At 37.3% G+C, this 13,420-nt stretch overlaps 1 annotated feature.

Annotated features, from left to right (window-relative positions):
• Positions 9,593–11,357: an enhancer, noted in NCBI's record as "VISTA enhancer hs1312". NCBI's record gives its function as "enhancer in: midbrain (mesencephalon)[4/6] | forebrain[5/6]" and the evidence as "EXISTENCE:transgenic organism evidence [ECO:0001131][PMID:17130149]".

Raw genomic sequence — 13,420 nt, forward strand, 5'->3', positions numbered from 1 at the left:
CTGGACTGGGATTGACTGAAAATCTTCACCTAAAAAGAAAGCTCCAACTATGAAATAGGACTTCCAGTGCATAAGCAAATACATCCATGTCCAAATTAGATTTTCTTTAAACATTTGCAGAGAAAGTATTTGAAGTCAGACCATTTTTCTAATCAGTCGGCCTCAGTGGTTCTTCCCCCATGCATTTCCCTTTTGTCAACTTTGGTCACATCTAGACCTTTCAATGACTTCACATAGCCTACAGAACAAAGCAGGGTATATCTCAGGACTCTTCAGCATCTGGTCACAAACTACCTGTCCACTCATTTCTCTTACTCCTCTCCTTCCACCCACTGTACATTCCAACCACAGTTTACTCCCCATACCTGCGTGCCCTGGGCTTCCCACCAAATAGGTAATAATATATTCACATTGTTACACTCACTGGACAACTCTTATGCATTCTCCTCTTCTCTGGAATAACAGAGGCTTAACAAATCCAACCAATCATATCATGCAATACTCAGCCCAAATAACACCTTTTCCAATACATTTTTAATTGTTCCTCTTGGCTAAAAATAACATCATCTTGTTTGAACTCCCATACCTGTTTATCTGGATCTCCCACTGAGTTTCTCCCTCTCTACCTAGTAGGTGCTAAACACCTTCAAGATAAAAACCATGTCTTGTTAGTCTTTGTAGTCCTGTGTATCAGTTTGTTCTTGCTTTGCTATAAAGAAATACCTGAGACTGGGTACTCTATAAAGAAAAGAGGTTTCATTGGCTCATGGTTTTGCAGGCTGTACAGGAAGCATGAAGGCATGTGTTGGGCTTCTGAGGAGGCCTCTGGAAACTTGTAGTTGTGGCAGAAGGTGAATGGGAAGCCAAGCATCTTACATGGTAGAGCAGGAGCAAGAGAGGGCAGAGGTGCTACACACTTAAAACAACCAGATCTCATGAGAACTCACTCACTCATTATCACAAGAACAGTATCGAGGGAATGCGGCTAAACCATTCATGAGAATTCTGCCTCCACGATCCAATCACCTTCCAGCAGGCCCCACCCCCAATACTGGGGATTACAATTCGACATGTGATTTGGTTAGGGACACAGATCCAAACCATATCACCCTGCTATATCCCCTATACTTATCCTCTGTTAGGCAACTATTAAGTATTCATAAAATAAATTTTGGATTCAAAACTAGATTTATATATTAGCAAGTTCAAATACGTATTTTAAAATCTTTATTTGGAATACTACGGAATGCTGTATACTCCTCTGCATTTATTAAGAAAAAGATTAAATATGGATAAATGAAGAGAAAAAGATTTAAAAATAAGAGTAACTAGAACATTAAAAAATTTTGAGTAGAAAATAAAGACAATTTACATCTTTTTATCTTATAATATAAAGCCCTTAGTATATCTTATAGAAATACATAAGATGTAATATAATAAAACTGAGTATTTCAGAATTAATGTACATGTGTCTTGATTCAATATTATCAAAATCTCTGAAAAAGTAATTGTCGTCTTAAGTCTAATTTAAGGCAGTGAATATTGGTTCACTCCAAGAAAGGCAGAATGTTAGGAATTCAAGTGATAAAATTATGTAATATATCCTTATCCTCAAGGATTCCACAAGCAAGACACAATCAAACAAACTTATGTAGGAAATAGAATATGCACATGCCAAGAGGGTGTACAAACAAAGTTATAAGAATTTAATATTTGGAGGAAAAAAGTGCTTTCTTTAATGAATTTGTGGAATTTAAAATAGACTTTGAGAAAGAGCAGAATGGCTATAGATAGAAAATGGGTAAAGAATTCCATGCAGAGAAAAGAGCATAAGCAAAGATATTGAGGAAAGACATTTTTCAGAATTATTCCAGTTTGCCAGAAATACCAACTGCAGGTGGCTAATATTAATTATAGTAACACCTAACATCTTTTAAGTGGTTCCCACGTACTGGCATTGTCATAAACACTTTACATGTCTTAAATTCTTCATTTAATTTTTGCAACAGTATGTGACTTGAGAACTATATTTCCATTAAATAGTTGAGGAAAATGAAGTACAGTGGGTGGAAAGAGAATGACAGCTTTGAAGATTAGTTGAAATCATGATGTAAACTGGATGGAGGAGGTAATGTTTGACCCTTCATCTTCCTCTAATGAATGCATTCTGGTTTTCTGGAAGATGAAGATGGTGGAAAAGAGAGGAGACACCAGCTGGAAAAGGCATGGAGGTCAGAAGCAGCACAGCATGTGTGCACATGCCAAGGGCAGGGGCAAAAGAGGACTGTGAGAAGCTAGTTTTTGTTGGAGAGTGCCATATAAATAGGCTGGAAAGTTTGGTAAACAGCATGAAGATCATGCACCCCATGCTGATCATGCATTTTATATAGGTCACCCTTCCACCTATGTGGGGAATAAATTTGAAGAGAATTAAAGTGTCAGCAGGGAGACCAAATAAGAAGCCATTGGCCTTAATATTCCAGCAAAAGGTATGTAGAAAAAGGGATGGAAAATGTGGCACATTATATTATCCAAAAGTGGGTGCCATAATTCCCATCCCACAATTCCAATTCCCAATGTAACTTGAAGACTTCTCTGATCAAGAGGCGGGGTCAATGTTTCCTCCCCTATAATTACAGCAGAAGTAACACTATCTGACTTGTATTTCTATGATGTTTGGGGGTTTGAGGGGAAGGGATTGTTGGGGGTTGTTTTGAAACAGGGTCTCTCTCTGTCACCCAGGCTGGGGTGCAGTAGCATGATCACGGCTCACCGCAGCCTCAACCTCCTGGGCTCAAGTTATCCTCCCATCTCAGCCTCCTAAATAGCTGAGACTACAGGCGTGCACCAACGTCCGCAGCTAATTTTTTATTTTTTTGTAGATATGGGGGTCTCACTACATTGCCCAGGCTGGCCTCAAATGCCTGGCCTCACTGATTCTCCCACCTTGCCCTCCCATAGTGCTGGGATTATAGGCCTGAGCCACAACACCCAGCCGCCTGGCTGGATACTAGCTCTTGGAGCCCAGCTGCCATATTATAAGGGGGCCCCAACTATCTTTATGTGGAGAAACACACAGAAAGGCCACATGTAAACATCAGCCATCAGCCCAGCTGTGATCCCAGGCGGTACACACCATTAACTGCCAGACGTGTGAATTAAGGTGCCTGCTGATGAGTCCAACCCCGAGCCTTCAAGTCTTCCCAGCTGAGACCAGGATACCCTGAAGGAGAGATTAGCTACCTCTGCTGTTGTTGCTTTAAGCCACTGAGTCTGAAATAGTTTATTACTGGAACAGGAGGGAATTGATAAATTTCAGAAGAGAGAATCAAAAGGATTTGATGGTTTCTAACAATGATAGCTCCACTGACTTAGAGCTCTGATGGTTGGTAGCAGACTCTAAGACAAATTCTTAATATAATGGCCTGAAGGAAAACTCGAGTAACTCGATATCCCTTTAAAATAAAAAAAAATCATATTCAAAAATATTCATATATTTACTAATAAATATACATTCTACTGTAAGCAAGTAACTTGCATGTTCAAAAGCAATATTCTCGAAATTATCATTTCAGGCAGTTAACACAATTTTGTCCCTAGAAAACTACAAATACTTGAAAATACTTGGAATTTAATATGGGGTAGTTTGAAGGAAGATTATCTCTTGCTTTGTTTTCTTCATTTTTCATGATTCCTATTTATTATGTAGAAATATGTCATGTTTCCAAATAATCTGCCCAAGATTACTGTAGCCAGACTTTTATGATATATGACTCAGTAGCAATATGGTGGATACCTGGTAGTTTTTAAAAACATATTCCTTAGGATGGAATGCTTAAACAAATGAGCCAAGCCAGGATAAAACTACTATAGAAAGAAACACTTTTTTTTTTTTGTAAGAAGTGATTTTATAAATCATGATTTACTCTCAATATGTTTGTGGTTTTGGGGAGCAATGGTCAGAGGGTGGTTTCATTCTACTAGATGACTTCTCTTCTTGCATCAAAAAGTAACATCTAATTGTTTTTCCTTAGGAATCCCAGCACTTTGAGAGCCCAAGGTGGGCGGATCACAAGGTCAGAAGTTCGAGACCAGCCTGGCCAACAGGGTGAAATCCTGTCTCTACTAAAAATAAAAAAAATTTAGCCGAGCATGGTGGCAGGCGCCTGTAGTCCCAGCTACTTGGGAGACTGAGGCAGGAGAATTGCTTGAACCCGGGAGGTGGAGGTTGCAGTGAGCCGACATCGCGCCACTGCACTCCAGCCTAGGCAACAATGCGAGACTCCATTTCAAAATTTAAAAAAAGCAAAGAAGCAAATTGAAGGAATATATTTTCCTTAGTACTAAATTACCTCCATATGCTAGAGAACACAGGACAAGCATCTTACTGAGCAAGCACTCAGAATTTTCCCTGTACAACTAAACTAATTAATGCCAAATAGAAAAAGAAACATGGAGGACAGCTTATTCTACATCTCTGTGCTGCATCATTTGCATTAGACTCTGTTTGATTCTTACCAGTCTTCTCCTCTGATTCCTTTTAGTCCCCAAGTATGGCCAATGTAGTTGATCATCAAAGTTGTACTTAGTAATCAGTCATTGCCAGTAATTATTGCATAACAAAATGGTATATAGGGGAGGAAATTTTTTTTTCACCCATCACCAGGTTCAGGCTAAGGCACCTCTAATAAAAGACAGATGGAAAAGAGAATAGCATACAAATTTATTTAATAAATTGTATGTGACATGGGAGGCTTCAGAAATAAAGACCCAAAGAAAAAGGAAAACCTGTGTATTTTTATGCTTAGTTTGAGGAAGAATGGAGAGTTGTGCAAAAGTATGATTGAGCAAAGGGGGTGTAATCTAATGGTAATCAATTGGAGGGAGCTTAGCAAGGTCTGTTTGTTCTCATTTTTCTCTATGTCCCTGTATTTTCAGAGATAAGGACATTCCTCTCCTCTGGTTGTAAGAAGAATACCTCTTGAGTGAGAGTCTTATGGCCTGCTTCAGAGGAGTAGGGTGGGAAAAGGTCAGAGAGTGACCTTCCTATATCTACTATCTTCTCACATGGCAAGGAGCCATATTTTACATAGTGTGTCCTGAATCCCATCTCTTGGCAAACACAGAGAATATGAAACTCGCTCACGTTAGCATCATCATCATAGTCTGTCTCACTATCCCAGACTTCCCTTTTCTCTAAAACTGTCTCTAAACAAATTCACTAATGTGATTTTGGAATTAAGTCGATGAGTCATGGTCAAAGAGATGTACTCATGAAAATATTAAGTTTGTAGACCCATGTAAGGTCATGGAACACCATGTATAAATAAAAACTGTTTTAATCACACACATTTTTATGTCAGAAGCTCAATATATACATACTCTGTATGTTTGTGTCTATCTCTGGTGTTTCAGAAGCTAATATTTTTAATATATGATAAAAGTATGGGATTTTAGTTTCGATTTGCGTGCTTCTGCAAAACCTTCAATGGCATACTTTTTATTTTTTTTATTTTTTTTTTTTTGAGACAGAGTCTTGCTCTGTTGCCCAGGCTGGAGTGCAGTGGCACGATCTCAGCTCACTGCAAGCTCCACCTCCCAGGTTCACACCATTCTCCTGCCTCAGCCTCCCAAGTAGCTGGGACTACAGGTGCCCGCCACCACACCCGGCCAATTTTTTTGTATTTTTAGTAGAGACGGGGTTTCACCATGTTAGCCAGGATGGTCTCGATCTCCTGACCTCGTGATCCACCCACCTCGGCCTCCCAAAGTGCTGGGATTACAGGCGTGAGCCACCATGCCCAGCAGCAGCATACTTTTTAAAAGTAATTGATGGCCAATATTGTATAATGTAGCAGGAAACACTAGTTTGTTGCTAAGCTAAATGGACAATTGAGGTTATACATATTCATAAGGCTTTGGAACTGTTCCAATAAATGCTGCAACATGTAAAAAGAAGAATGGGCTTGCATTCAATATGTTTTGGTAATTGGCCATGCAAACCCCCAACTCCCCTGGGTATGCAACTCTTAAGGAATCATCTTCTAAACCATAATGATTACACAAGCTCTAATGCAATGATTTTACATAATTAAATTTTAAAGTAAATTTAATGAAATGCTCAAGAATTTTAGAAAATAAGTATTATTACTGCAAACAGGCTAGCAAAACAAGAATGCTCACATATTCCTTCTATCTTTTTCTTATAGCCAGATTTAATATGTACTTAAGTATGTGTGTGTGTATACATATAAATATATACACTAAATATATATATGTTATATATAATTAGTTCCACAGAAAATAACCTCTCTTTTAAATAAGAAAAAAGCAAGCAAGAAAGAAATTTCAATGAAAAATAAAATATATAAGCTTCTTCAAACATAGTGGAAAACACAGCTTACTTTGGAGAAACATGGTTGAAACCATAGCTTACTTTGTGGTTTTTTTAATACATAAATGGATTTAATCTGGTATGTATTCTTCTTTTTTTCTAGAAAAGGATTGGAACTATAGTTTAAACCATTATAAACAGCTAGAAATTCAAGTGGTTTAACCAAACTGCAATGCCAAATCAAATTAACATTAAATGAAATGTTTTGGGGAAATTTTGTATAAAAGACCTGAGTTAAGAACTGTATTTTTGTCTCATCCGCTAATTCGACTCTGTGCTAAGCAAAAGGTTATAAAAAAACAATTATGATTATGTGCACTAAAATAGAAGATTGTTATTTGACGAACTATGAGTGAGTAGATTTTTTTATTGCTGCCTTTGAAGAGAAGCCCTTGACAAGCTGCAGTGCAGCCCATTGTCAGTGGTGGTACTGCATATGTCACGGCCAGGTGGCACTGGCCAACAATGAGCTGAAACAAAGAGACGGTAGCAAGCTCTGTCCAAAGTTTTCAAAATATATTCATAGGAGCAAACTAAATATTTTTAAGAGTGATCTGGATTTAGTAACTTACTTACAAATTATAAACAACGGAAAAGTGAAGAACAGTGTATTTGCTTCCTAGGGCTGTCATAACAAAGTATCACAAATTGCCTGGCTTAAAACAACAGAAAATTTGAAACCACGATTGCAAAATTATGACTGAGACAGTGTAAGAGATCTGACCTAAACCACTCCATCTTGCTTCTAACCTCCAAGCTGTCCTTGTTCATTCCTGGGCATACACTGAACTAACTTTGGGAGGAACTTAGTTTATATAGTTTGAAACAAAGACGATAACAGCCCTTTCCCAAAACAAACCCCCTTCCTGCATGGGGCTAGACCGCCTTTGCAGGACTAACAAATTAGCCCTGAGATTAGAAATTATGGTTTGGGAGCCATGCAGCTGGAGACTGCAAGATTCTAAACCTCCTCAAATTGCTCCTGGGGACAACATCACTATTGTAAAACCTAAGATCAGTGTTTGAGATATTTTGCAGACCCTGCACTAGATGGATCAACTGGTATCACCCAGATTGATAAACTGGTTCATCTGGTCTTGTGGCCCCAACCCAGGAACTGACTCAGCACAAGAGGACAGCTCCAACTCCCTGATTTTCATCTCTGACCATGCCAATCAGAACTCCTGATTCACTGGCCCCCCTGCCTACCAAATTATCCTTAAAAACTTCAATCCCCAAATTCTCGAGGGGACTGATTTGAGTAATAATAAAACTCCAGTCTCCCACACAGCCAGCTCTGTGTGAATTACTCTTTCTCTGTCACAATTCTCCTGTCTTGATAAATTGGCTCTGTCTAGCCAGCGGGCAAGGTGAACCCATTGAGCGGTTACAATTTGTCACCTCCCAGTTCTGGAATCTAGAAGTTCAAAATCAAAGTGTTAGCAAGGCCATGCTTCCTCTGAAGCATGTAGGAGAGAATCCTTCCTGCCTCTGCCCTGCTTCTGGGGTAGCTGTGAATCCCTGGTCTGCAGCTGCATTGCTCCAAATCCTTCCTCTGTCATCACATGGCATTCTCCCTGTGTGTCGCTGTGTCTTCACAGACACTTCACATGGTGATTTCCCTGCTTCTAAGGACACCAGTCATACTGGATTAGGGCCCACCCTAGTGACTTCATCTTAACTTGATTAAATTTGCAACCACTCTACTTCCAAAAAGGTTACATTTACAGGTACTGGGTGCTAGGACTTCAGCATATTTTTTTAGAAGACACAATTGGACACATAAAAGGCGGTTATGTAGAATAAAGAAATCTGGCAAACACAACTTTAACCAAGTGGTCAATGTTAATATCACTACCGGTAGGTCATGTTGCTGTCTTGCACTCCCTGTAATATGTGATGAGAACATATTTCATATCTGTGGACTCCCTCCCCAAAACCCATAATTTCAGGCTAATCATGAGAAACATCTCTTACAAATTAAACTGAGGAACAGTCTACAAAACACCTGGCACAGTCTCCTTAGGAGGCTAAGGAGACATGAAGACTAAATGCAATACAGTTTCTTGGAATGGATCCTGAAACAGAAAAACGACATTAGAAAAACTAGTGAAATCCAAATAAAGCCTGTAGTTTAATTAACAGCAATACTATTAACGTTACCTTCTTAGTTTTGACAAACGTACTAAGATATTAACATTATAGGTGAAAGGTATAAGAACTATCTATACTATCTGTAGCTTTGATATAAATCTAAAATTATTCCAAAATTTTAAGTTTATTTAAAAAAATAAGGAAATTATATTTATTTTTTCATTATAGGAAAAGCTATCACATTAACAACTTATAAAGATGATCTGCTCTAATTAGAGAGATGGGGAGTATTTACCTCCTCTCTTTATTCAACAGAGATCTTCCCATTCATAAGGAGGCAAGCTTGAGATAGCAGTGAGTCTATAATGCGCAAATGTTATTGATAACATGTATATTCATTTAAAGGTAGTATTGCACAGGTAGTGTAAACAGTGGGCCAAGCTCAGGTATTGGAACCACAAAACTAATCTCTAGTATCCTCACTCCACGATATAGGCTACATGACTTTTTCAAGAGTTTTTTACTTGGTTCGATTCTTTCATCTATAAGACTGGAATATGATAGGCCTATAAGACAGGGACAGAATGAAAATATATATTAATGCTAACTAAATGGTAGATGGTAACTATTTGGGGTCATTATTTACAATGAGAAAAAGGAAGAAAAAAATGTATTGTGAGACTGTAACATTGGCAACAATACTTTTAACCTTTCAATTCAACATTGATGGTGCAGGAGTGATGACAGAGTCAAGAAGCAAGTAACTAGACACTTCCCTACAGAAAGTCACAATAATTGAGCCATTATTGACCTTTGCAAACAATTACTTATCTAACATCCTCCCTGATAATATTTCCCTTTCTGTCCATACAAGAATACAAGAATTATACATTACATTTTGAAGTATACGTATACTCTCTATTGTCAAAAATAAGGGGAAAACAGATTTTTTTATGTTGCAAACAAGAGTAGTTTCCAGTGTTCAGGGTTAGCTGGATTCCAAATGTTCCCTTCTATAAGGGCAGCAAGCTTGAGACAACAAGTCTAAATGTGCAAATGTTACTGATGACATATATATGCAAAGGAAGCATTGCACAGCTAGTGTCAATGATGGCAAAGCTCAGGTCTTGAATAGCATTCGAAACATGAGAAAGTGAAAACCAAGTCAATTATACACTTAAATTAATGTAGAGAAGAGCCTTCAGTGATAAGCTTGTGATAGGCTAGAATGCTAGAATGGAGAGCAGATAGCCAGTTCTTCAGGTTTCAGCTCAGGGATTTCATTATCAAGGAGGAATTTCCTGCACAGCCAGCCATCACTCTGCCCAGATGCCTTTGTCAACTGACAACTCCCTGCAGGTTTTATTCATCCCTGAATCTCAGGGCCTAGCTTTGGCACATATAGCAGGCAACATATTCATCTTGGCCAATCTAAACTGAAACTTTGTGAGGCTTTGAAAAAACGCGAAACACTGATTCCGGATTATTGGAGAACTGTATTCTATTCTACCAATATTTCCTTTTGTGGTTTATTTTTCCTCTAGTGTAATCTCTTTGCTCTCTATTCCTTTTTTTCTCCCAAGCATCATTGATAATCTTGCCCCATTACAAGAATACATATATCCCCCTACTAAATAAAAGTTATCCACTTAAGTATGTTTTTATCTGTGCTTCTTATACATCATTATGGCAAAGTAAATGTAGCCAAAGTAAGTCTTTCCATCTCCCAAGATTACTCCATTAATTTATGGTTAATTTCACTAATTTCAATTTGTCTTCAAGTGGTTTGCAATGAAATATTTGTAATGAAAATATGCAGGCATGCTTAGTTGGGGAATTACCTTCATATTCCACATGAGCCCATGCCTCTCTTCACTGAGGCTCTTCCAGCCTCTCAAAGGAAATGAAATGGGGGTGGGGAAAACCAGAGTGAGGGCAAGCTTTTAAAGAATTGAGTGGGTCATGGATGTGCTGACCTTCCTGGAATGACATATTCTTAGTTTGAAAAGGGATATGAGCTGTGGGTAATTTGCAAATGAATGCATCTGCAAATGAATGAATGCATCAAACACAATGAAAACATTGTGTCCGAGATTATACCATATTGCTCGTTGCAGCAACTTCCACAGAATTTGTTTCTTCACCATCTGCACCAGTTCTATTACACTATTGGACACGAGGCCTTGAAAAATGCCAGCCACTAAGAATATCTTGTGAAAGGGGCTGTGTGAACAGTTATTATGCTTGTGTTACTTCCTTAATACCCTTTTTGATGAAAAAGAAGAAACCTACATCAGAAGCAGCACTTAAAATTCAGTTTGGAGAGTCTTCTGGCCTCCACTGAGTAGCTTTTCCCCCTAATCTCTTTCTTCTTTTCTTCTTTGTTACGTAATAACACGTTTGGGCTAAGAGAAAGCTAAATTCTCACACCCATCTCTAAGGAGCAAAAGCTTACTTTTAAGGGAATAAATGAATAACTTCATCATCTAGATTTTACAACAGATATAAGTATGATCTAGTAATGACATTTTAATATTGACATATATTATCCACAATGTACCTTTTTTCACTCCACCAAAGTACTCACCTTCTCATAATTTCTTGCTTATGAGCAATTGAATTCCAATTGCATTTTTTTAAGTAACTGTATTCCTTTCATACATATCTAGTTTGATGATTGTATGTCAAAACTAGCACTAACAAAGCTAACTAAAATACCTAAGACTGAATTAATTTAACTACTTTCCATAGTTGGGCCTACACCGGAAAAATGGGAAGGATGCACCCTTGGTTGCCGTTGTGTCTCTTATTTTCAGAACATGTGTTTGCTGCAGAACAGTGGGTTTTACCTCAACAGACTCCTGGGCTCCAAATCCTAAATTTATATCCTGGGCCCTGCAGGTAAATTTTTGATGGCATCTGTGTGTTTCTGTAATGAGATCCATAGCATCTGCAATAGGTACTTTCCCCTTTGAAATGTGCGTTCAAAAGAAAAAACAATACATTGAAAATTAAAGAAAGTACACAAGCATGTGTTGTCATTGCTTTGATAAAAATTCCTTCAGGAGTCTGGGAAATGGGTTTGACCAATTCACTACACTACTCAAATAAGTCCAGGAAAAGGCTGAATTTCTAACAAATCTTTAAACATTTCAAGAGGGTTAATGATTTCTAATCAATGATCCAAGCATTCTCCAGTGTTATTCATTCATTCATTCCTAAGTGAAATGGTTACACAGTGTTCAAACCAATATAAAACTGTCTAGAGTTATTACACTATCTAAATACTGTGATCAGAGAGTACTTACAAAAGCACTATTTATGAAAATGCTCTCACCATCAGTTTACCCAAGACAAGTTGTGTGTCTGTGTTACAGCATAACACAGAGAAAATTCATAAAAAATCCATCCAACAGAGACCAAGCCCCCTTTCTGGAAAACATAGGTTTCCTTTCCTATTCACAGGTATATTTTCTTTTTTTTTAAATTATACTTTAAGTTTTCACAGGTATATTTTCAATAATTTAGTAGGTTATTTGCAGTCTGTAGGCCCCAGTTTGAGGACAGAACACTTCTCTAAAATTTTTCCAACTTTCTGAAAGTTAAATAGCTTATACAAGCAATAAGAACAAAAACAGAAAATACAGGTAAACACCAATCTTTTCTGTATTAATCTCAGTTAAGTTTTTTCTTTCCTTCAAATTCAGTTCAAAGAAGATTTCATTAGTATATTTCACCAACTCCGTAAGAGTGTATAATTTTAACTACATGGAGGCAAAACAACCTAACAAAAATGTGATTTATCTTTGCTAAATTACCAGTGTGACGTGGCATTACTTTGTCTAAATTAAGCAGCTATGACACAATGGCTGAAGAATACTACAATGAAAAAGTCATCCATTCCTGCTATTTTGTAAATATAGGAACACTTTTAAATGCAACCAATATACAATGTTTTAAATCTGTCAAGAAAAATAATTGAAACAATTATGAATTAATTTTAAAAGAATGTTATATATGCTACAACAATTAGGAGTAACAGAGGTGGATGCATGAGTGGATAGTTTGCTAGTTTATCTCAATTGAAAAAAATCATACCGTGAGTATTTTTTTCTGGTAAGTAACTTATAACAGGTTAGTGTATTATTACCGCATTAATAAAGCCTCCTTAAATGACCAAATTTTCCACTATTTATTGGTAAGAGGAATTACATAAACTTTACTTGAGAAAGAGTGCTCATGTTAAAAACAATATTACTTTAAACTAAAAAACATGATGAGTTTAAAACAGAATAATGAGGAAAGGGGGAGAAATTCTCAATATATAAATGTGATACCAGTTTCTTACCTATTCTGTTCATGAATCTAATAAAAAATGATATGAAAAGGTTAAATTCTCCTGAACATTTAGAATTTTTTAAATGAGTTAAAGGCTGGTATATAGGTAAAATGCGTATCTCTCCCTTTGATGCTTAAACATCCCTTTACTAACTGCTGTGAAATGAAATTAAATGTTTAGAAGAAAACCCCTTCTTAGTTCATTAATATTAAAAAAGTTAAAATTTTCTCTGGATTTCAAAAATTAAAACATCTTGCCCTTTTATTTCTAACAGATGTTCTGTTGACTCACACGGAAATGTAGTCACTACACTGCCATTGGTCAACTTTTCATGGGGACATTTGTTAATCCAATGGTGCTTCTGCTGGAGACATGGAGATGAACCCACTAGGCACTGAGAAGAATGCAGTGTCTCTTCCCTGCACAGGATTTTAACTTAATATGTATGCTGGGACTGGCAAGTGCCCAAGGGACCCATCTCTACCCATTGGCTGTCAGCCAGAGAACAGCCTGGTCTTGGGAGTGTAGATGAATCCATTGGGTTTTTAGCTCCTAAATAAAAAGTTTCATTGTCATTTGTGCTTCTTTTATAT

This window comes from Homo sapiens, chromosome 5 (genome assembly GCF_000001405.40).
Source record: "Homo sapiens chromosome 5, GRCh38.p14 Primary Assembly".
Lineage (NCBI taxonomy): Eukaryota > Metazoa > Chordata > Mammalia > Primates > Hominidae > Homo > Homo sapiens.